Source organism: Homo sapiens, chromosome 1, assembly GCF_000001405.40.
Source record: "Homo sapiens chromosome 1, GRCh38.p14 Primary Assembly".
Lineage (NCBI taxonomy): Eukaryota > Metazoa > Chordata > Mammalia > Primates > Hominidae > Homo > Homo sapiens.
The window spans coordinates 247,448,953-247,474,466 of NC_000001.11; the positions used below are offsets into that span (position 1 = coordinate 247,448,953).

General features: G+C 42.5%; 1 protein-coding gene across 2 annotated transcripts, besides 2 other annotated features; it reads right to left on the bottom strand.

Annotated features, from left to right (window-relative positions):
* OR2B11 (olfactory receptor family 2 subfamily B member 11) lies at positions 166-9,152 on the bottom strand. 2 transcript variants are annotated; one of them, NR_169840.1, is made up of 5 exons: positions 8,687-9,056; positions 6,001-6,112; positions 3,373-3,489; positions 3,168-3,293; positions 166-2,959 (listed from the first exon to the last, which is right to left on the bottom strand). NR_169840.1 is itself a non-coding variant. In NM_001004492.2 (2 exons), exon 2 carries the CDS (start codon positions 3,028-3,030, stop codon positions 2,077-2,079), a length of 954 nt encoding a protein of 317 aa, NP_001004492.1. In that variant the 5' UTR covers positions 3,031-6,112; positions 8,687-9,152; the 3' UTR covers positions 230-2,076. The 2 variants fall into 2 exon arrangements, 1 of the variants encoding a protein (NP_001004492.1); NM_001004492.2 differs by having other exon boundaries at positions 230-6,112; positions 8,687-9,152.
* Positions 22,218-22,411: a silencer, noted in NCBI's record as "fragment chr1:247634472-247634665 (GRCh37/hg19 assembly coordinates)". NCBI's record gives its function as "represses an EF-1alpha promoter that drives an FKBP-Casp9 reporter gene in an ReSE screen in K562 erythroleukemia cells {active_cell/tissue: K562}" and the evidence as "EXISTENCE:reporter gene assay evidence [ECO:0000049][PMID:32094911]".
* Positions 22,598-23,230: an enhancer, noted in NCBI's record as "H3K27ac-H3K4me1 hESC enhancer chr1:247634852-247635484 (GRCh37/hg19 assembly coordinates)". NCBI's record gives its function as "activates a minimal SCP1, AML or CMV promoter by ChIP-STARR-seq in primed H9 embryonic stem cells {active_cell/tissue: H9 hESC(primed)}" and the evidence as "EXISTENCE:reporter gene assay evidence [ECO:0000049][PMID:30033119]".

Genomic DNA, 25,514 nt, shown 5'->3' on the forward strand with positions numbered 1-25,514 from the left:
AATTTTATGGCAGCTATTTATTTATTTAAATTTTTTGTAACAGTTTTGTTTTCTAATAAGAAAAATCCATGCTTTTTGTAGCTGGTTGAAAATTCAGGAATATGTAAAACTTTTTGGTATTTAATTAAATTGATTCCTTTTCTTAATTTTAAAAAAGAGTACCTAGAAATTTTTCAAATTATTTCTCTAAACCACTAAAGATAAATTAAATTGTTTGGTGCATTTTAAAAGTCACTTTGGCAAATGATTCCATTGTAGATAATTTTTAAAACGTTACCTCACTCTAACTGTAATGAGTGGAATTTCATCTTTGATAGGATAGGAGATTGAAAATCGTGGAGGGAAAGGTTTGAGAGTATCAGAGCCTGCGCTCCTAACTAGAAGTATTATGTAGAAGATGCATCTTGCTTTCAGTTGATAACAGCTTATTTTGGATTTATCCCATCCGAGGAACAGTTCATCTATTATACTTCACAGAGCATTAAGTTATAAGGAAATATTTACTAATTGCTTCTCTACACATGGACAACTCTTAAACCGCATGGAATTGCTCAGGATGGAAATACTATTTCCTCTGTACAATTAGCCATCAAAGTAGCCACACTTTGCTACTCAAAGTGTAGTCTATGAACTGTCGATATAAGGAGCTTGTATAAGAATGTAAAACAATCACATTATTAAACATACCTTTTAGATGAGCTGACATTTAAAAAAAACCCTGAAGACTATTTTTATAAGGGAAACAGTATGAGATTTACATTCTGTTGCAAACTCTGTCTTGTTAGCACTTCTGAGCAGCACCAACTGGAGACTGGGTTTCTGCATCTTGGTGAACTATTACCGACTGCCTTCCTGCTACAAACACTTTGATAACCTATATAAATAATGTAATCAGAAACACATAGCTGAGCTTGAAAGAGAGAAAGAGAACCTTTGGGCATTAGGACATTAAAACTGGCCAGGTTGCTGAGAATGCCATTATTTCATTCCTTTTTATGGCTGAATAGTATTTTTCCATGGTATATATCTCACATTTTCTTTTTCTTTTTTTTTTGAGATGGAGTCTTGCTCTGTCGCCCAGTCTGGAGTGCAGAGGCGCGATCTCGGCTCACTGCAACCTCCGCCTCCCGGGTTCAAGCAATTCTCTGCCTCAGCCTCCTGAGTAGCTGGGATTACAGGCGTGTGCCACCATGCCCAGCTAATTTTTGTATTTTTAGTAGAGATGGGGTTTCACCATCTTGGCCAGGCTGGTCTTGAACTCCTGACCTTGTGATTCACCCGCCTCGGCCTCCCAAAGTGCTGGGATTACAGGCATGAGCCACTGCGCCCAGATGGTTCCATATTTTTCCAATTGCAAATTGTGCTGCTATAAACACGCATGAGCAAGTATCTTTTTCGTATAATGACTTATTTTCCTCTGGGTAGATGCCCCGTAGTGGGATTGCTGGATCAAATGGTAGATCTACTTTTTGTTCTTTAAGGATCCACAATGTTTTCCATCGTGGTTGTACTAGTGTTTGTACTAGTTTACATTTCATGGAAAAACTTTCTATAGAAGAAAATGTGAACTACAGAGAAAAAAAAATCAAAATCACAGGAAGAAGATAGCAATCTACTTCATTCCTGGAATTGTCTGAAAAAGTCGTGTAAAATTTGTGGAGATTTAAGTATATGGAGAAAAACACTTATTCATTGTAAGTAAAATAAGATTGTATTTCAGCTTCATCTTGTGTATACTTAGGAGTAATAGAAAAGAGACAAATGGGGAGAGAATAAAAGAAATATAGGAAGAGGAAAAGAGAAAAGAATCAGGAAATTGGAAGTGAAATAATTCCACACATACTTATTGAAGTCTATTTAAACAATGCTTAAAAATATATGGCCTCTTAGAATTATACGTTTAAAATGAACTTTGTCGCTATGGGATTTGGGGCATTATAACAGGAAGTGAGATGTTTGAAGACAGGGTTTTTGAGCTCTCTGGGTATTAACTCCTTAAGTGAAAGATGCTCTGAGTGCACAATAGACTTGTGCTGTGTTCTTTAATTGATGGAGATGCTACATCTCATGTCCTCATCATCCACAGAGCCTCCAGATCCTGGCCAGAAGTCTCCTCAGAGCCCCCTTCATATCTTTATTTCTCAGGGTGTAGGTGAAGGGATTGAGAGTGGGGGTGATTATGGAATAGAAGAGAGAAATAAATTTGCCCTGCTCTTGGGAGTAGCTGGAAGGGGGCTGCAGATACATGTAAATCGCAGGTAGGTAGAAGAGGGAGACGATCATCAGGTGGGAGGAACACGTCCCAAAGGCCTTGTGTCGTCCCTTGGAGGACTGGATCCTGAGCACTGCCCGGGCAATAAAGCCATAGGAGAGAAGGATGAGAGCCAGGGGCACCAACACGAAGAAGGCCACCAGCACAGCCAGTATGGTGTCATTCACAGCGGTGTCAGCACACGACAGCTTGATCACGGCCGGCACCTCACAGAAAAAGTTGTTCAGCACCTGCCGCCCGCAGAATGGCAATTGCACCGTCAGGACCACCTGCACGAAGGAGTTGCCGAAGCCACTGAGCCAGGCCAGAGCCACGAGCTGCTGACAGAGAGCACGGTGCATGAGAACGGCATAGTGCAGGGGCTTGCAGATGGCCACGTAGCGGTCCAGGGCCATGGCGGCCAGGACGATGCACTCCGTGCATCCCAGCCAGTGGAAGACTGCATATTGCACAGTGCAGCCTCCATAGCTGATGGTCTTCTGGGAACTGCCCATGTTGACCAGCATCTGAGGGACTGTCGTGGTGGTGTAGCAGAGGTCCAGGAAGGACAGGTGACTGAGGAAGATGTACATGGGGCTGTGGAGTTGAGGATCCACCCGGGATGCCAGGATGATGGCGACGTTCCCCAACATGGCCAGCACATAGGACAGCAGGAGGACCACAAAGAGAGGGAGTTCCAGCCACGGCCTGTCAGACACACCCAGAAGGATGAAGGCTTTAGGGGAGTCCCCTAAGAAGCTATGGTTGTCACTTTTCATGTTGCGGCATTTTCTGGCACTTGTGGCAAATTGAGAAAATTGGAATGAATAATACCTGAGAAGAGGAATTGATCACTTTCCTCCCTCTTGCATCCACTCTTCCTTTCCCAGGTGATAGCCTGTTTGATTCTCCTTACCTCTGTGGAGACGCTGGGATGCGGAAGGGTCAGAACCAGGAGCCCCAGTAGCAGCCTCTGTGTCTTTGCTCTCCTTCCTACTCAGTGGCCGCAACTAAACCATTTAATATTCCTGAACTTCTGCATCTGTAAAATGGGGAGAAATACCTCCTTCAATTGCCAAGACTTGGGGACGATAGAGACATTAAGTATGTGAGAAGAATACCTCACGAATGACAATTATGTTCCAGGTAGAGCGAAGCGTGCTGCAGCTCCCATCACCGTCAGAGTGTTTGATTTCTCTCTACATCCACATCGACAAGGAATTGTCCACCTTCTTAGGCTTTCCCATTTTGGGAGGTAGTGGTAGGAGGGAGGCAGGCGGTGACATAAAGCAAGCAGAAGGGCTTTGTGAGCAGCTGGGGGCTGTATTGATAGGACCACCCCCCGTCACTGGCTCACGCTTGCATCCAGCTCCCGGATTCATGCTGATCTCCGCTGTCATGACCACACACGCACAGGCAGCCCTGTCACTCACACTGGCAGTAAAAGCAGCACAATTCTAGGTCCTGTGAGTCTCTGGAGTGGAAGAGCCAAGGTATACGTTACTTCAGCCCCTGAATAGGTCATGGTAGTTAATGAGACCCCAGACCATGGAATTTTGAGCACAGGGAGAAAGCTCTTGATTGGCGTGAGAAAGGTAGCCCCTGGAATTGTCTACGGAAAGATCAGACTGCCCTCTAGGGCTAGGTTTTATCTGATGGCTTGAGTGACATTCCAATTTCCTGCACAATTTCTTTGCCGAGCAGCTGTCACCTCTCAGTGATAGAAAACAGCCAATTTGATTTCTGAAACCATTGCTGTTAGGAAGCAACTGGGTTGCCACCTGCTGATTCGTGGGTCCTTTCGACTGCACCATTGGCTTCTCACCTCCTACAATCGCTCAAGCATTGCACACCTTCCAGTTCCTGATGGGGATGTTATGCTCCATGATAGGATTGAAAAATATTATTAATAAACAATAATTAATTAATCATTATTCATAATAAATCCTGTAAGCAGATAATTTATGAAGGATTTTTATTCTTGATTTGGTACCTTATGCATAGACTGTAAAACTAACGGAGATCTGCTCAGCTTACATGTTGCAACAGGTGTTCCCTGCTGCCCCAGTTGATGTTCTGAAGAACTCTACTGTTACTGGAAAACAACTCAAACTCCAGGGTTTCAATGGAGGAATAAGTTCAGTTTTTCCCTCCTGCTTCTCTAGTTTCAAAACCACACACGTTTTGTCAGAAAGTTGCCAATATTCTTGTGAAACATTCAATTATCGTATCTCCTCCCAGATTCTATCAACAATACTTATGAAATAAACTTCACAGAATGTGATCTTATCTCTAACGAGCTCAAGATGCCTGTCAAAACAGTGAGCTGTGGCCGAGCAAAGTCAAGCTAGCACATTTTTAAGTCTAATTATTAAGAAGTAAAGGAATTATGACATTTCTCTTTCTGAGATTTCTGATTCCAGAGTTTCTTTTCAGAGCCTAAACTGGGAGAAAAGGGAGAAGTTGTAGGGATAGTGAAGAAAGAAATGAGAGAATGAAGGAAGCAAGAAAGATAGAGGGGTAAATGTATGCGGCAATTTATAATAAAGACAAGTTATTTACCACTCACTGTGAGCCAGGTACTGTAATAATAACTTGATGTTGCCTTAATATCTCAGCAAGGTCCATGTTTTCACCCCTAATTGACTGAGCGACTCGGGAGGACAGCTGGTCTACCTTAGTTACACGGCAGCAAATGGTAAAGCCAGGACTGAAAGCCAAACTCCTGCTCTTCACTACTATTCTCTCCAGAACTTTGCTTTAAAAAAAGAGCAGCTGGTGACATGGGGAGCAGCAAGGGCAGTCGCGTAAACGACTGAGACAAAAGAAGTTCCTGGGAAGGGGAGATGAGGGAGAGGAAGGTCACAGGATAGAAAGGGGCAGGGATTAGAGAGGAGTGGTTTTCTTGTAATTATAGTCCACTGTACATGTGCACACTTACGTACACACGTGCACACACATGCATGCACGTGCACACGCACACACACACACACACACACACACGCACACACACACGGTTTCTCAATGGCAAAGCTGGACACTGCCCAGCCCTGCCCCTCATGCCCTGGATCTGATGCCCTTCTGTTCAGGTGTTTCCACACGGAGCTTTCGTAGGTGTCTAGCCTCTGCACTCCTTGACCTTCTTTCATCTTCCCACTACCCAAGTACAGGTGCCCCCTCAAGGCACAGCCTTGCTTCCCTGGATGGACACAGTAGTTCCCACAAACATCGCCATCGCATTCAGACGGAATCCCTCAGGCTGTATCTACAGTTGTCAGTTCCTCACTGACCTCTAACCCCCTTTTTGACATTGTGAACTGAGGCATCCCAAATTTCACCTGGCAGCCATCCCCCCAGACTCAAACCATCTCCTTCATCTTAATTCTGGCTGAGTTCCCTTCAGTCACCGTGATGCCAAGTACTGAGGTTCTTTCTATTCATGTTCTACTCCTCATTCACTCTAGTTCAGCACCGAAGTTAAAGAATTCAACACCCACACAATGCTGTGATCCCACCACAATGTTGCATCGTTGCAGGCACGCACTGTCTGTATCCTCACCACTGCCGTCCTGGGCAGAAACGCCCACCAGGACCCCTCTTGGAACTTGCTACCTGCCTCTCTGCAGGCAGTTTCAACCCCTCACTCACCCTCACACGAAGTCATCTTTCTGAGACTCAGGCCTTAAGGCAAAGATATCTTTAGGTGTTTCAATTACCAAAAACGTAAGAACCCGTCGCTCAAGAGTTACCTGCTGATTGTATCATGTTCACGCTGAATTCCCGCAGTTTCTTCTGGGGGCTGCTGGCAGGCTAGGCTGTGAACACGCAGGCTGTGATACACCCTTAGATATATATCATTCCCTGTAGGATATATAATCCTTATGATTAATATTTATATCTCTATATCTATATCATCTACCTCTTATCCCTGACATTTGCTGCTGAAATCTCTGCTGAAGCTTGACGGAACACATTGTTACCTACTCCATCACACAAGATGGAAAATCAAATTTACAGCAGTGTGTGGAATTCCTAGAAAGTAGCTTATGAGATGGGCAAACAGAAACATGGTCATAGGATTTTATTGCTTATTAGTCCAAAGGGTCTCTTTCTTCAGTCTAGAATGCAGCCTCCCATCCCACAACCGGGATAGCCTGGTCCAGGCCCTGTTCAGCTGCGGAGGCCATCATTGGGATTACACTCAAGAGAGTCTTGGGGACAAGGCTTAATGATAGCAGTATTTTCCTGAACTGATAATAACACGGACTCTTTCATCACAAAAAGAGAAAGAGCCCCTTTCTCCTTATTTAAGAGCCCCTTTCTCCTTATTTGTTTGCATTTGCAGTCCTGGTTCAATGGCACGCTTTTTCTTAGGAGTCTAACAAGTACAATCGAGACGTTAGCTGGCACAGGGGCTTGAGAGCACACAAGCCCAGCCTCAACTCCACCTCTTCATCTTTATTCTCAGTGTCACTCAGCAGCCTCTGCAATGTAGTTAGTGTCCCTGTGCATGCACAGTCCTTTCTCATCCTGTGCCAGGACTGGGGAAGTGCACATCCTCCTGCTGGGAATAGCAGGAATGTCTTGGGAATCTTACGTTCTTCCCTTCCCTTCATGTCCCACCTCTGGTTTCAGGACAGCCCGGTTTCTTTCCTTTAACTGCCCTCACTAATTTAACACTATTCATCATCTTCTGTAGCTCCCACAGTACAAAGGGGTTTGAGGACATGAATATGCCTATTGCCACAGTGGATCTGAGGTCTAATTTTTCATAACACTTTAATTTGAAAGATTAAACAAATTCTTAGCATTGAGAGGAGAAGGGAAGTAAGTGCACACTGAATGAGCACCCACCAGTTCTCTGTGCACTAGGCACCGCATATGAGCCTTCCCATATCCCATTTCAATAACTCTGGAAAACTGAGAGGTTCAGAAAGATTAAGAAGTTCACCTCGTTCAGGGACTGGGGTATGAGTCCACAGGGTAAGCTATTTAAAAATCCAATGCCGGTTCACATGGAGGGGAAATTACTTCCTCATAAGCCTCTGGATGTCATAATCTGTCACTCTCAAAAGTAACAAACAGTTCCCCTTTAAAAAACTTTATTTTATATTTACTTAAAATAAATAGAGATGGGGTCTTGCTATTGCCCAGACTAGTCTCGAACTCCTAGGCTCAAGTGATCCTCCCACCTTGGCCTCCCAAAGTGCTAGGATTACAGGCGTGAGCCACCTCACCCAGCCCAGTTTCCCTTTTACATGCACGACCTCGTTAAACACCCTGTAAACCTGAAAAATATTAAAGACCTCGCCTAATGGAAAAATTGTAAATTTGCTGTATCATTTGGTAATCATTTCCAATATGTTAATTTTTTACTTTTTAGGGAGATTGTAATTACTTTTTTTTCTTTTTTTTTTTTAATTATAGTTTAAGTTCTGGGATACATGTGCAGAACGTGGAGGTTTGTTACACAGGTATACACGTGCCATGGTTGTTTGCTGCATCCATCAACCCGTCATCTACGTTAGGTATTTCTCATAATGCTCTCCCTCCCCTAGCCCCCACTCCCTGATGGGCCCCGGTGTGTGATGTTCCGCTCCCTGTGTCCATGTGTTCTCATTGTTCAAGTCCCACTAATGAGAACATGAACATGTCTTACATATTATGTCATTCACAGCATGAGGAATGCAATTAATTCACAAAAATGATTATTGATTTTGTTAGCAAATCTAAAAGCCTCATCCCTCAAATAGCTTCTTATTCTGGAGGTAGGTAGAGTCCTCAGCCTCGTCAGTTATTCCTTCTAGTGCTGGGGACGAAGGGAAGAGGAGGAGAAGGAGCTGGGACCCAGCAGTGATGGGCCTATGGGAGGGAGGATACGGCTGCACAGCCCTCAGCGCGTGGCTCAGGCAGGGTCAGCCCCTCTGCACATGCCTCCCCCTACCACCACCACACGTCATCGCCTTTTTATGTGGTCTGACTTTTTCAGATTTTTCAACCTGAAGCTTGCTTTCTCGGGGACTGATACGATTCAGCTCTGCATTCTCTTTTTCTCTCTTTCCATGGCCCTGCTCAGCTCACTACTGCCCTTGTGACTGTGATTCAGCAGCCTCAAAAATAGGAGGAAGCGGAGGAAAGGGACTCAGCGTCCCCACACACTGTGTGCAGCGTCCACTGTTCAGATGAGTGTCAGACAGCGTGCCTACCTCCAGGCAGAGCATCCTGTTCTGCTCCCGGCTCTCTTTTCTAGATAAAACCACACAACACAATTTTACACTTGCTGCTTAATACGTGGCCATTGCTCATCGACCCATCCATCCTCCACCTCATGTGCCCTTGGTCTCCAGCATAGCCCAGTGTTAATACTGCCCATCCTGCACCTCCACTGCACTGTACAGATTTCAGTTTGACTGGAGTTGAGGATGAATCACTCACCTCCAGGGTTCCTGGCTCCTACAGAAGACTTGCTTTAGGACTGAAGGCTATATTGCAGTCTGTGTTGGCCTTAGTCGCGGAGGGACATTTAAGGATGGACTTACTAGAAATGCTCTTCATATTCCAGGAACACACAGCACATTTCCTCTGATGGGCTGCTGGGACCTTACCATTTACTGGAACCCAACCCTCTGAGCAAGTCTGAGAGATTATTCTCAGTCTAGAAGGAGTCTGCTGTCCGTTGCAACAGGCTTGCTGGGGAGACTCAGGGTTTCCCGGACTCTCCCTTGGCAGTACGTGAGGTCGGTGGAACTGCCTTAACCTTAGTCCCCCAGAGTGCCTATAGGTACCTTGACATGGTGGAGGTTACTTCCGAGGATAAGGCTTTCAGGCAACACACCTTGCCCGTGTCACGCTCTCTGTTCATTTCAAAATTATCCCTCAGATTTAACTTGACCTCATTCTCTCCACTGTTTTCTATAAGGGCCCTGCTCATTCTCCCCAGACGTGAGAGTAAAAACTTGCTCTCCTCTGGCTGTGAAATTATCCCTGATGCTTTATTTAATTAGTGTCTAAGGGGTTAGCTGATAATTGAGGTGGTGTGAGAGCTTGGAGTTCTTGCAATTAATGGCAAATCCCAGAAGACCAGAGAAAATGGATCAATAATGGGGAATAAGAACTCTGTGTGTGTGTGTGTGTGTGTGTGTGTGTGTGTGTGTGTGTTGAACTCTTTAGGGCTGGTGCGTGGTGTGTGTGTGTGTGTTGAACTCTTTAAGGCTGGTGCGTGGTGTGTGTGTGTGTGTTGAACTCTTTAGGGCTGGTGCATGGTGTGTGTGTGTGTTGAACTCTTTAGGGCTGGTGCGTGGCGTGTGTGTGTGTGTGTTGAACTCTTTAGGGCTGGTGCGTGGTGTGTGTGTGTGTGTTGAACTCTTTAGGGCTGGTGTGTGTATGTGTGTGTGTGTTGAACTCTTTAGGGCTGGTGCATGGTGTGTGTATGTGTGTGTGTGTTGAACTCTTTAGGGCTGGTGCGTGGTGTGTGTGTGTGTGTGTTGAACTCTTTAGGGCTGGTGTGTGGTGTGTGTGTGTGTGTGTGTTGAACTCTTTAGGGCTGGTGCGTGGTGAGGTGATTACTGTAACATCAGAGTGGAGTAGTAACTAGAGTGTGTGATTCAGGTAAAGCATGAGACCTGAACTGGCTTCAACACCAGGCTCGGTCACTCATGCCATGTGTCTTTGAGCAGGTTACTTAACCTATCTGTGCCTCACTTGTGTTTTCTTAAAAATACAAGAAACATTAGTATTGTTTTGCACAGTCTGTTACAAGGGTGGAATGAATTGTTTCTTGTAAAGCACTCAGAACAATGAGTGGCACAGAGTGATACATGTTGAGGGCTTTTTGTTGTTGTTGTTGTTGATATATTGTCTCAGCACCCTATTATATTTTTCACATGGAGGGGATAAAAAAAATCTTTCTTAAGACAGGCCGCAAGAAGTAGTGCACATTTTATTTTATTTATTCTTTTATTTTCTTATCTGTATAAATTTAAGGGCTACTGGTGCAATTTTGTTACACGGATATATTGTGCAGTGGTGAAATCTGGGCATTTAGCGTAACTATCACCCGAATAACGTACATTTTACCCCACGTAATTTCTCCTCCCTCACCCCCTGACACCGTCCTACCCACCCTAGTCTCCAGGGTCTCTTACTCCATCCTCTGCATCCCTGTGGACACATAATTTAGCTCCCACTTGTAACTGAGAACATCTGGTATTTGACTTTCTGTTCCTCAGTTGTTTGGCTTAAGATAGTGTCCTCCAATTCCATCCACATTGCAGCAAAGATATGACTTCATTTTTTTTATGGCCAAATAGAATTCTTGTAGCGCAAATTTTAATTCATGAGCTACAATTCATGTGATTAAATGCTGCTATGGGAACCACTGTGAATAGCAGCACCTTGGTGCAGTTACTCTCCCTCTCTAGGTTTTGACTCGATCGTCTTTTTTCTCTAGCTTTAGATGTCTAAGTGGACACAGGGTGAGTCATGGCCATGAGTTAGGGCTCTATTTTTACCTTCTGGGGATGGAGGGAGGAGAGAATATGTCCCAGAAGAAGATGGGGCGACTGTGCTTTGGCGAAGAAGTGGGAGCTGTCCCTGATTCTAAGCATGCTCTCTTGTACTCTCTCCCACGGAGAGCCAGATGAGGCACCAGGGACATCTTAGACACTTTTTTTTTTTTTGAGACGGAGTTTCACTCTTGTCTCCCAGGCTGGAGTGCAGTGGTGCGATCTCGGCTCACTGCAACCTCTGCCTCCTGGGTTCAAGTGATTCTCCTGCCTCAGCCTCCCGAGTCTATGGGACTACAGGCACCCACCACCACACCTGGCTAATTTTTTGTGTTTTTAGTAGAGACGGGGTTTCATTATGTTGGCCAGGCTGGTCTCGAACTCCTGGCCTCAGGTGATCCGCCTGCCTCGGCCTCCCAAAGTGCTGGGATTACAGGTGTGAGCCACCGTGCCCGGCCTTAGACACTGTCTTGTTATCCAGCTGGGATAATTTCCAGAAGTGGAGAGGCTTCCATATCTCTGCAGTTGGGGGAAGAAAGGTGGAATAAACAGTTTTGTGCTGAGAAAACCCAGATGCAATTGTAGTTGGAAACTCCCACGACTGAGACTGACACAGGGTCCCACTGGAATTGTGCTAATTCTCGTCTTGATCATCTTTCTTCAAATATCTGTTCTCCCACTCTTATTGTTGGCACCCCCTTTTACTCCATGCAGCAAGGTACTCTGTGATGTGATGATATTTTCCAGGCTTTCTAACAGATAGGGGAAGCTAATGAGATAAAATTACTGGGAAAGCTTGGAAAAATATTAGCCAATCCTCCATTCTCTATTTTTGTGCATGGAACGTAGTCTTGATGGCTAGCGCCCTAGCAGCCATATTTGATCTTAAAGCAATCTTAAAGAAGCAAGTCACATATTAAGAATGGTGGAACAGGCTAGGCATGGTGGCTCACACCTGTAATCCCGGCAGTTTGGGAGGCTGAGGCAGGTGGATCACCTGTTTGGGAGTTTGAGACCAGGCTGACCAACATGGAGAAACCCCGTGTCTGCTAAAAATACAAACAATTAGCCAGGCATGGTGGCACATGCCTGTAACCCCAGCTACTTGGGAGGCTGAGGCAGAAGAATCGCTTGAACCCAGGAGGCGGAGGTTGCAGTGAGCCGAAATTATGCCATTGCACTCCAAGCTGGGCAACAAGAGCAAAACTCCATCAAAAAAAAAAAAAAAAAAAAAAAAAAAAAAAAGAATGGTAGAACATTGAGAAGGAGCCAGGGTACTTGATATTTGATGGTCAAAGAGGTGCCGTGAACTGTTGACCTCCAGTTTCTTTGACATAAAAGTAATAAGCTTCCATCTTATTCACAGCACTGATCTGGGTTTTATGTCTTAGGAAACTGAACTCAATTCTGGCAGTGATTTCAGGAAGATTTTCTGAGATTTCTTTTGTAATATGATTGTGTTATAAGATATAATAAAGCACAGATATTAGTAATTCCAACCTCTAGAAGAATGTGATCTAAAGCAGTCTGTGTTGACATCAATGTCACAGATTAACAATTGAAAAACAAACAAATGGATAAATTTAATGATCAAATAGATGATGATAAATACTTAATGCAGCTACAGTCAGTGGACATTGAAGATGAAGGCAGCCAGGAGTCAAAAAACGTTTTATATTTCCAGGCATTCTAGAATGAGAAAAGAGAAGACTTGCTCTGCTTGGTGTGAACTGGGGGGGTTCCCTGTGGAGAAGGCAGGCGTGATATGGATTGCCTGTATTTCTAGAATTACATGTTATTTCAGCTGTGGTTAGGATTTGAGTAAAGAAAAGAAAGAATCACACTGATATCCACAAGGAATATATTTAGGCTGATATTTATTTAACATAAGTCCAATAGATGGAAGTGGTGAAAAATGGGTGTTTGCAGCCAAATGAACTGGATTCAAATCCCAGGCCTCACGTATTAAGCTTGGGACCTTAAATGAGTTACATAAGTCTTCTGAGGCTCGGTTTCCTTACCAGTACAATAGAAATCATAATTTCTGACCACTGGATTGATATAAGAATAACTGAAATAATATATGCAAATATATTGGTATGATTCCTGGTACAAAACTTAGTAAGTGGCAGTCCACACTTTCCTTCTTGCTTTCTTTCCTTCCATTCACCCATCGACAAATATTTAAGAAATTCTTTTTTTTTTTTGAAATGGAGTCTGGCTGTGTTTCCCAGGCTGGAGTGCAGTGGTGTGATCTTGGCTCACTGTAACCTCCGCCTCCCAGGTTCAAGCGATTCTCCTGCCTCAGCCTCCCGAGTAGCTAGGATTACAGGCGCCTGCCACCATGCCCAGCTAATTTCTGTACTTTTAGTAGAGATGGGGTTTCACCATGTTGGTCAGGCTGGACCTGAACCCCTGACCTCATGATCCGCCCTCCTTGGCCTCCCAAAGTGCTGGGATTACAGGTGTGAGCCACCGTGCCCGGCCAAGAAATTCTTATGATGTGCCATGTGCTGTGACTAATGGTGAGATGTAGTGTAAATGGAATTATTTGTGCCCTCAAGGAAACTTTGGAGTGATAGAAGTGTTTTACTAATTGTCTGGAATGGTAGTTGCATGGCTGCTTACACTTAGCAAAACTCATCAAACTGAGTATTAAAATGAATAAATTTTGTCATATGCAAATTATATCCAAATAAAGCTATAAGAAAGTATTTGGGCCCATGCAGAGCTACCAGAATGGTGTAGAAAAAGAGACAGTAAGCAAATCGTTGCATAACCATGAAGTATAGCTGTGAGAAAGATTAAGAAGGAAAAGAAAGGACAGCAAAGAATGCTTTGAAAAGCCATGGTACCCTGGCTTTCCACCCATCAAATACATTTCTAATAGATGATGATAAATACTGACCATAGCCATCACCTCATATTATCTGTGCCAGCTGATGGCAAAAGGAGAAAAGCAACTATAATCTACTCAGCAAAAATTCTGAATACAATACACTGTTATTAACTCTAGTCCTTAAGTTATGCTGTACATTAGATCTTCCAACTTGTTCATTCTGCGTATGTGCTACTTTGTATCCTTTCATCTACCTTTCTCCATTACCTGAACCCCAACCACTGTTTTATTCTCTCGATTTGTATATTTGACCTTTTTTTCAGATTCCACATATAAGTGAGATCATGCAGTATATTTAGTTTTGTGTCTGGCTTATTTCACTTAGCATAATATCCTCCAGGTCTATTCAAATTATGGATAAATGGCAGCATTTCCTTCTTTTTTTTTTTTTCTTTGGAGGGTGGTGAATACAGAGGATTTTATTGTTGATGAAAGTGGCATTCAGTGGGAAGGGGAGCTGGAAAGGGGTTGGAGTGGGAAAGTGGTCATCCCCTGGAGTCTGGCTTTCCCTGGCCAGGCTCCTCTCTGAAGTCCCACTGTCAAGCTATCCCTCTGAAGTCAAGCTGCTTCTCTGACATCTGGCTGCTTCTTCTCTTCTCTTCTTTTCTGCCGTTCCTCTGCCAGTGGAGCCTGGGGTTTTTATGGGTACAGAATGGGGGGCAGGGCGAGCCACGGGGGTTTTGGAAAAGGCAACATTTGAGCAGAAAAATGGGGATGTTCTCACTTTGGGCCATGGTTCTAGGCTTGAGGGTGGGGCTTTGCCAGGGACCCCACCCTTTTCTGCCTAGAATTTCTCTGCCTCCTGTCCCTATCAAAACCATAGTGAAAGAGAGCATATCAGTTGTTAATATGAAGCCAGAAGTGTGGAGAGTGGCATCTCCTTTTTAAGGCAGTGAGATGCTTGTATCTATCTAGCTATCTAGCTGGCCAGCTCAGAGTTTGTCTATTCATTCATAGACAGATGCCTAGGTTGTCTTCATTCCGTGGCTATTGTGAATAATGCCACAATGAACATAGGAAAGCAGAAATCTTTATGAGGTGGTGACTTCATTTTCTTTAGGTATACACCCACAAGAGGGATTGCTGGATCATGTAGGAGTTTTGTTTTTAACTTCTCCAGACTGTGGTCCATAATGGCTGCCCAATCCACATTCCCACCCACAGTGTGCAGGGCTCCCCCTTTCCACATCCTCATCAACACTTCTTATCTCTTGACTTGTTGATAATAGCAATCCTAACAGATGTGAAGCATTATCTCACTGTAGTTTTGATTTGCATTTCCCTGATGACTAGTGACATTGAGCAACTTTTCATATACCTGTTGGTCATTCGTATGTCTTCTTTGGTAAAGTATCTATTCAGGCCTTTTACCCATTTTTCATTGAGTTATATATTCTCTTAGTTTTGAGTTGTAAGAGTTCTTTATAAATGTTGAGTGTTTACCCCTTATCAGGTATTTTTTCCCAATCCATAGGTTACCTTTTCATCTTGTTAACTGTATCCTTTGCTGTGCAGAATCTTTGTCGTTTGAAGCTTTATTACTATTATACCTTGTTTTATGGTGTTTATGAACTAGGGCTTTGCAGAAATGGAAGAAGTGGTAAACCAGTGAAAAATGCTGTCCAAGTGTCAAAAGTCCTTTGAGCAAAATCGGGGGCTCTCCAGATTTCTAGACTTACCTTTCTCTCTCTTTGCTCAAGAACTGTTTCTCCGGAACACTCTGTCTTCCTCAGCCCTGAAAACAAACATATACTAGTGTTCTTCAATAGAGTTCTCCATGCTTATAGAATTATATACATATGTGCAAATAAAATATGTGCTCCTTTATATGACAAATTATATCATATAATATAAAAGTAAATTATATGCATAAAAGTTTAACTTTTCTCTATTTCTCGTCTCTCTACAGTATTTACTTTAGAATTAGCATCCAGACTTTAGAAGGACATCACAGGGATGCATATTTAACACAGTGATTTATTCAAAAAGAAATTCAGTGGATTTTCAGATAAAAAGTAAATTTTATAATTAAATTATATGTTACAAATCAAGGGCCAATAGTAGCTGTGAATACATATTTCCTGTTTCACAAAAGAGTTATTTCTTGTGCTGAAAAGCTAGTCAAAGGTGAACATACTAAAATATAAGTTTGGACCTTATTATTAATTCTTTGCCAATTAAGAATGAGATTTACTTTTTTTTGAGAAAGAGATTTCTTCCAGGATCCTCAGTACCATGGTTTATTGAGAAGTATGCTATTGCACAGCAAGGTGTCTATAGTTAAGAATAATATATTGTATATTTCTGGTCAGGTGTGGTGGCTCACACCTGTAATCCCAGCACTTTGGGAGGCTGAGGCAGGTGGATCGCTGGAGCTCAGGAGTTTGATACCGGCCTGCGCAACATGGTGAGGCCTCCCCCACAACTCCCATTTCTATTTAAGAGAGAGAGAAAAAAGAATAATATATTGCATATTTCCAAAAAAAAAAAAGCTAAAAGAGGGGATTTTAAATGTTCTCATCTCAAGAAATAATAAATATTTGAGGTGATGGATATGCTAATTGAATCATTCCACAATGTATACACATATATCAAAATATCGCATTGTAATTCATAAATATGTAGTTATTTGATTTAAAAATAAAATGGAACTTTAAAAATGTTACAGTATTTAGCTTAAAAATAAGCGATATAAATTATATGCTACATTATGTATTAAATCAATCATAAATGATGTATTAATTATATATAATGTATATTATTTTATGCATTATATATTATATGGCATATATTAGTATGCAAAGAAATGGGTAATATCATGTAGTTTTCACGTACCTTGCTTTATTACTGTGAGAAATGGAGGGAAATCCCTTTACGTGGGCTGGGTAAGATCATACTAATCTTTTTTTTTTTTTTTTTTTTTTCGGAGTCCCCCTCTGTTGCTCAGGCTGGAGTGCAGTGGCGCGATCTCGGCTCACTGCAAGCTCCGCTCCCCAGATTCAGGCGATTCTCCTCCCTCAGCCTCCGGAGTAGCCGGGCTTACAGGCGCCCGCCACCATGCCCAGCTAATTTTTCTATTTTTAGTAGAGACAGGGTTTTACCATGTTGGCCAGGCTGGTCTTGAACTCCTGACCTCAGGTGATCCACCCACCTCGGCCTCCCAAAGTGCTGGGATTACAGGCGTGAGCCCGGGCTGTACTCATCTTTTATAGTGGCAGGACTCTTTCCTCCTCAAGCTATACAGTGGTGAAATCCTAGTGAATTTTCTTGACATGGCAGTGATTTCAGTGTGAAACGAGCTGCCATTTCATATCTTCATGGTTTACTGGTTTTACTCTGGGCTCTGGTTACTCTGCAATTCCAGTTATCTGATTCTGTTGAAATCCCGTGTGTTGCTGCCTCTGCAGCCTCTTCTTCCTCATTCCGCCCTGGGGAATATGTCAGATATTCAGGGCACACAGTACTGGCAAGACTTGCTTACTAAGAACCTATTTCCATTCCCCCCGCTCCCCACCAAGTTTTAAGATCAGAAACGAGTTGGCTACTATCCTCTGTCATCTTTCATCCTAAAGTAAAATAATTTCTGAAATTCCCAAATGCTGCAGGAAAAGTATTACAAGGAAACCGAAAAACCACGTTTGAGAGATACTATAGATGCTTTGCTTCAACTTTCGCGGGTTACTTCTCCTTCCCCACTCCCGCTTCACAATCACTTTTCTTCCACTTCACAATGAAAAAGTGTTCTTTAACCTTTCCTGAAGGTGACTAAGAAGCATTGCTCTATGGTCTTCTCTCTTTATACTTTTCTTTCTTTCTTCTGTATTTCATCTTCCCTTCCTTTCCTTCTCTTTTGTTTTTCTTTGTGTCCCTCCCCATTCTTTCCAAAATTGTGCTATTTCTTATTTGTAGGCTGGGGATATCTAAGATGTATAATTTTATTTCCATTCAAAATTTCTACCACTTAGAGGAGATTTCCTCTTGAATGACCTACCAATATCTCAAGAAGTAAGGAATTTCTTTTTTTTTTTTGAGATGGAGTCTCGCTCTGTCACCCAGGCTGGAATTGCAGTGGTGCAATCTTGGCTCACGGCAGCCTCTGCCTCCTAGGTTTAAATGATTCTCCTGCCTCAGCCTCCTGAGTCGCTGGGATTACAGGCACGCATCACCACGCCTGGCTAATTTTTGTATTTTTAGTAGAGATGGGGTTTCACCATGTTGGTCAGGCTGGTTTCGAACTCCTGACCTTGTGATCCGCCAGTCTCGGCCTCCCAAAGTGCTGGGATTACAGGCGTAAGCCACCGCACTCGGCTGTGAAATTTCTTTACTTCCTAAACTTCTGTGGTGAATAAATGTCTTGTGGACCTTAATTAGCACGATTTCCTAAAGAAGTAACTTTTAAGTTCCATGCTTAGAAGCAAAGCGTGCATGAAAAAAGAACGCCTGTTGCCAGACATTTTATAACAATGATCTGTGTCACTACTTCACAGCAGCACTACCATTGTCATTATTGTATGGTACTCCTCATGGTACCCTGGCTTTCCACCCATCCTCAGCTCACCACCACTTAATTGTGAGGACAGCTCGTTTCCCCTGACTCATTTACTGTGCTTGGGGAAATCACCTTTGTTCTACCCTCCAAAGTTATGAAATTATCTCCCAACTAGGCCAGAGAGGCAGTTACTGTTGTGGTATAGTTTTAAAATGCTGAGTACCACACGGATCAAATACATTTCCATTATTAGTGTGCTCATACTTCTCATCTCATTTCATATTGCAAAATTTTACCAGGATGGGTCATGATGAGGAGTTGTCACATAATAACTCATAACAACTGAAGTGTCAGTTTTATGGGTGTTTATCACACTAATGTCTTTTAGAAAGACTCATGGCCTTTTTTTGTTTTTTTGAAATAGGATGAGTAAGATTGATTGTAAGAGAGAGAGAGATTCTTAGACAGATGGGCAGATTTTCTTTCTAGATTTCAAAATCAGAGTGATTGTCATTAGTTACAACTTGAACTAATCTTTTAATTGCAGTTTTAGGCTCAGTACTCCTACACAAGCTTGAGACTTCAATATTTTGAAGAATGTGAAAACTAGCAAAAGCCACTACATATTTCTTGTCCCAGTTCTTCATTCTTCTAGCCACAGGTTTTATTTGGATATAACAAATTTGCATTTTTGCCCTTATACTGTTAGGTCACAGAGTTATGTGTGGATGCCAACCCCATTAAAAAAATGTAGAATCCACTCAGTTTTTATATACCTGCAGTATTAATTATAACAAGATTGATGAGACTATTATGAAGTTGTAAGCATTTTCAACTGTTTATGAAAAACATAATGTATAACTTTTAATGAGCAATTTTTCTCAGTGCTCTAACAAATACAGCTTCACATTGCAAACACTCAGAGTCTAGTTTTAGGAAATATATATGAAATCCTCTGTATTGCATCAAAAAATATTCATAATTTCTCATGTGGCGATAACTAGAAGATATGAAATTAGAATAAATAGCTGAATAATTCAATAGTTTGATGTAGCCATTCTCTAAATATACCTCTTTTCTTTCTAAACAAAAGGAAATCATTCACCAAATCCTCTTCCTACTCAAAGGCTTTTGTGTTGACAGTTTTCTCAAGATTTGCCATTAAACACGATTCAACTTTGTGGATATGGTTCCAAATAGAATTTTAATGGAGATGTAGAATAATTTTATTCCATATAATTTCACCACCCTTTGGCTTTTAAATTATGTTTAAATAATATATATAAACACACATATATATGCTTAAATATATATGTTTATATATTATTGTAACGTAATTATATATTTAAACCCATATATGTATATCTAAAAACTGGCTGATTAAGTAAATATAACCTTGCCTTTGGGAATTTCCTTACGTCTTAAACTTCTGTAGAGAATAAATGTATTGTGGACCTTAATTAGCACAATTTCCTGAAGAATTAACTTTTAAGTTTCATGCTTAGAAGCAAAGCTTGCATGAACAAAGAACATCTGTTCCCAGACATTTTATACAATGCTCAGTGTCACTACTTGACAGCAGCACTACTATTGTCCTTATTGTATGGTACTCCCCATGGTACTCCGGCTTTCCACCCAGAAGTCAGTCTGACACAACTAGCAGGTTGATTTTATCTTCACACTCCATTGTCATCTACTATGGACTGAATTGTGGCTCCCAAAATTCATATGCTGAAGCGCTAACCCCCAGTGTGACTGCATCTGGAGACAGGATCTTTGGTAGGTAATTCATGTTAAATGAGAAAATGAAGGTGGCACCCTAATTCAATAGGACTGTGGCCTTATTAGAAGAGGAAGTGCTCTCTCTCACTTGCTCACACGCTCTGTGTTTCTGTCTCCCTCTCTCTATCTTTCATATTCTTTCTTCCTCCCCACCATGTGAGGACACAGAAATAAGGCGGTCTTTTGCAAGCCAGGAAGAGAATCCTCACCAGAAACCAAATCCTGACAGAAACTTCATCCTGGACTTTTCAGCCTCCAGAACTGTGAGAAAATAAATTTCTATTTTTTACGCCATGGTGGTAATTTGTTACGGCAGCCCAACCAGGCGAATGCACCGCCTTCATCATGTTGTCTCTCTCTACCGCATTCATTCTTCTATCCTTTTCATTTCATTAAAAACAAATCATTATGTAACATAAAGTCTGGATACACAGCAAATGTTTTCATTTGTTCCACATTTTGAAGAACTTTTAATCTCACCCAGGGGAGCATATGAACTAGTTTCAGAAAACAAATAGCATGAATTTGGAAACATAATTTCTTAAGGCTGAAAAAACTAAAACTATGAGTTAAGTTTTTAGAAAATGCTACAAAAAGTATCTTTTTTTAATGCAGAAATAAAAACACACAAGGAAGAAGTAGAATAATTGCTAACTATAATCTTATTTAGAAAAGTGAGTTCAGGCTGGGCGTGGGGGCTCACGCCTGTAATCCCAGCACTTTGGGAGGCCGAGGTGGGCAGATCAGGAGGTCAGGAGAAGGAGACCATCCTGGCCAACCCGGTGAAACCCGTCTCTACTAAAAAATACAAAAAAATTAGCCAGGCGTGCTGGTGGGCACCTGTAGTCCCAGCTACTTGGGAGGCTGAGGCAGGAGAATGGCGTGAACCTGGGAAACGGAGCTTGCAGTGAGCCGAGATCGCACCACTGCACTCCAGCCTGGGCGACAGAGCGAGACTCCGTCTCAAAAAAACAAAAACAAAAACAAAAAACAAAAAACAAAAAGAAAAATGAGTTCTAGAAGAGCATTTCAGCACTATATTGTCAAGCAATTAGGAAGAAGCGCCTTGCACTGAACATGTGTTTAATTCTTTAGATTCATAGATATCACAGCACAACATCTTCAATTAACTTGTAAATGTTTATAGTCATGGAAAATTCCTGTCAGAGAAAGTATCGGCCGGGCGCAATGGCTCACGCTTGTAATCCCAGCACTTTGGGAGGCCGAAGCGGGCAGATCACAAGAGGTCAGGAGTTCAAGACCAGCCTGGCCATGGTGAAACCCCATCTCTACTAAAAATACAAAAACAAACAAACAAACAAAGCTAGCTGGGCGTGGTGGTGCGTGAAAGCAGAATCCTGGAATTAAACATTGACTAAGTTTGTGATAAACTCTGGGGAGACCTAGAGGAGAAACTAAATACATAATCTTGTAATTTTATAAGCATTTTGAGAAAGTGTGAGTGGTAGTAGCAAATGTAGGTAACTCCAAACAAACATGAAAAATAGCATGATTTGCAGGATGTGGCTTTGGATGTTGTGGGCACCATGGACATGGTTGGGGCATCTGGTTTATGGGGATGAGCACAGTATTTGTATCCAGAGTATATATCTCTGGATCTGTGTCACAGACACACTACATACTTAGGGCAAGAAGTATCAGCACTTTGAGCCTCAGCCTTCTTGCACAAAAAGGCAAGAAATAACATTCACCTCCTAGGATTTGGAGATGATTGAATGCTTTAATATATGGGAATAGAAGGCATGCTGAAACTGATTATTTCTTCACTCTAAAAATGATTATTTTTTGTAAATAATAAACAAAAAACAAGCAAAACCATAACAGCATGCAAGAATCAGTGTGGGAAGAGCAGAAATTATGTTGCCGTGTTCCAAATACTACCACCTACATTTTAACAGTTGTTGAGCCCTGTGCAATTTAGTTAGCTTCCAGCTGAGCCTCGATTTTCCCACTTCTAGAGCAAGAATTATCACAGTTTATACATTATTTGCACTATAACTTGGTGCTAAATAAATGGGAAATATACACAGTCGATGCAGAGGAAACTGAAGCACAGAGAGATTAGGAAAGTTGCAAGAGAAAGCAGAGCTCCACCATGACACAGCTGGAGATGACACTCGGGCCAGGAGCCAGGACAGAGCTCCACCATGACACAGCTGGAGACGACACTCAGGCCAGAAGTCAGGACAGAGCTCCACCGTGACACAGCTGGAGACGACACTCAGGCCAGAAGCCAGGACAGAGCTCCACCGTGACACAGCTGGAGACGACACTCAGGCCAGAAGCCAGGGCGGAGCTCCACCGTGACACAGCTGGAGACGACACTCGGGCCAGAAGCCAGGACGGAGCTCCACCATGACACAGCTGGAGACGACACTCAGGCCAGAAGTCAGGACAGAGCTCCACCATGACACAGCTGGAGACGACACTCGGGCCAGAAGCCAGTACAGAGCTCCACCATGACGCAGCTGGAGACGACACTCAGGCCAGAAGTCAGGACAGAGCTCCACCATGACACAGCTGGAGACAACACTCGGGCCAGAAGCCAGTACAGAGCTCCACCATGACGCAGCTGGAGACGACACTCAGGCCAGAAGTCAGGACAAAGCTCCACTGTGACACAGCTGGAGAGGACACTCAGGCCAGAAGCCAGGACAGAGCTCCACCATGACACAGCTGGAGACAACACTCAGGCCAGAAGCCAGGGCGGAGCTCCACCGTGACACAGCTGGAGACGACACTCGGGCCAGAAGCCAGGACAGAGCTCCACCATGACACAGCTGGAGACGACACACAGGCCAGAAGTCAGGACAGAGCTCCACCATGACACAGCTGGAGACGACACTCGGGCCAGAAGCCAGGGCACAGCTCCACCATGATGCAGCTGGAGACGACACTCAGGCCGGAAGGCAGGGCAGAGCTCCACCATGACATAGCTGGAGATGACACTCAGGCCAGAGGCTAGGCCCTTTCACTCCACTGCCTCATAAAAGAGATGCAAATCTATGATGATGCAAAGCTGGCAGGGACCGCTCATGCACATCACCCCAACAATCAAGAAGCTGATTCTGAGTAAAAAAGATAAAACTTAAATAGGATGCTGCTTTAAAATTCAATTGCTCCATTACAGGATAGGGGAAAGCTGGTTGGGAAATTGCATGTGCAATAAAATTCTGACAATCTCTCTCTCTCTCTCTTTTTCTGCATTCAGTTTAGAAGGTTCTATGAAAAGTTTTCTTTGATTACACATTTTAAATAAATAAAGCAATAGAGAAATTATGAGAAAACCTAATGAACTGTTTTCAATAGTAAAAATACCATTCATATAAAAATCTAGTAAAGCTATGCATTCTATACTGTTAAACCACCTCTTTTTTTGTTGTTGTCGTTTGCTTGTTTTTTGTTTGCTTATGTAACTTATTTGTTCCTTTCTTTTTATTTTTCAACTTTTATTTTAGATTCAGGGGAGATAACCTTTTCAAATTGGATTTTAAATTGACACACTGGAGTGTTTGGGAGGGGAGTCTGGAGACTTGTTATAGAACACTCTCTTTGAAGGATTTATTAGGATTTTCTCTGTGCAACACCATTGAAAGTAATTTGCTTTTGGCTGGGCCACCAACTTTTGGGAATAGCGCAAAAAGAAGACTACTTCATGAAATTCAAGAGCGAGTTAAATGGACACCTTTTGCCATCCCCTTGTTGCCATAATGTTAGAATTCTTACATATCTTTGAGATATCTTGTTTCGACAGACACCTAATCTAATCCATTCTTCATGCTTACCTGCTTGAATAATCTTCAGAAATTGCAATCCTCATTTTATCATTCAATTATTTTAAAGCCCATACGGACCCTCCAAAGAGCAGCATGTGATACCTGGAGCCATCTCTGACTTGTCCTCTATGTCACCCCATGCCTCCTCCTCACCAACCTCATTCTCTTCACCACTTGTTCCAACGTTTAAAAAGCACATGCTAGTTTCAGATAGAGAGGAGGAAGAGGCTTTGAGATCTATTGCACAGCAGAATGACTATAGTAAATAATAGTGTACTATGTATTTCAAAATGACTGAGGGTACATTTCAAATGTCTCACCATAGAAATGATAGGTAGGTGAGGTGATGGATATCTTATTAGCCTGACTTAATCATGCCACATTGTATAAATGTATCAAAACATCACATAATTGTACCTCATAAATGTATATAATTATGATTTCTTAAACCAAACTAATAGTAATAATAAATTTAAAAAAATGAAAGAATGACCAAAAAAAGAGGGGGTGGGGAGAAGCACATATTCAAGGCTGGTTTCTTGGTACATGCTCGTTTCTCTGTCTTTCTCTCGCATTAACTGGCTAGAGTCCTACTTATCCTTTAATACTTGGATCAGTCTCATTTCCTTCTATGAAATCTTCTGTGATGTCCCTGTCTTTGTTTCCGAATTCTGCTTTGTTTTCTTGTGTCATTACAGTCCCCTGCTGGCCCTGTTTTCTGCCATGGGAACATTTTACTCATTTGTTCTATGTTTAAATTCTCCTTGCCTCCTCAGGACCTAGTTTTGGTCTGTAGAAGGTATTTACTAAATGCATAAGTAAATAGATTGATTCCGGGGTTACTGATCAAAATATGTGCTTCTGTAATTCTATTGTCAACTATTGTCCCAAATAAATGCTCATGCTGGCCTGCTCTTGTCACCTTTTTACGGCTCACTTACAGTCATTGCTGCCTCAATTCATTTGCAAATACATTATTTCACCTGCCATACAAACTTATTTGCATTTTTTTCCCCCAATTCTACTCAACACTCTAGACTTGGTTCAAATTTGACTTTTTCTTTAGCCATTTGTCTTTACTACTGTGTAAGATACAGGATGGCAGAAATTTTTTATTCTATTGTCTTGATTTTTAAATATAATACCTGGTACAATGCTTGATGCCTATTAGAGGCTCAATATGGGCTTGGATAATTATCATTCTTTGTCTCTTTGGCTGTTGGCTTTTCCTATGCCACTGAGTTTTTTTTTTTTTTTTGAGACGGAGTGTCGCACTGTCACCCACGCTGGAGTGCAGTGGCGCGATCTCGGCTCGCTGCCAGCTCCACCTCCCAGGTTCATGCCATTCTCCTGCCTCAGCCTCCGGAGTAGCTGGGACTACAGGTGCCCGCCACCATGCCTGGCTAATTTTTTGTATTTTTAGTAGAGACAGGGTTTCACCGTGTCAGCCAAGATGGTCTCGATCTCCTGACCTCCTAATCCGCCTGCCTCTGCTTCCCAAAGTGCTGGGATTACAGGCATGAGCCACCGTGCCCGGCCAGCCACTGACTTTTAAAAAATGTATACACTCAGTCCTAATCTGTTCCTGGACCTGAAAACTACTGTGGTGATTCTGGAAAGGGGGTCATAATTGGGTCTGAGAGGACTGTCTCCTTAATGCTTTTATTTGGGGTCCCATGTTTTTACCTCCCATTACCTAGAGTAGTCCATGCTCTTTGGGTAAGTGAGAGAATCTCCTTCATCATTCTGGGAATTCAGTAGAACAGAAATGATTGTTAATTCCTGTGCTCAA

Bases quoted from the DNA above. Each gene is read 5' to 3' on its own strand.
- OR2B11 (NM_001004492.2), bottom strand. From the start codon at position 3,030: ATGAAAAGTGACAACCATAGCTTCTTAGGGGACTCCCCTAAAGCCTTC.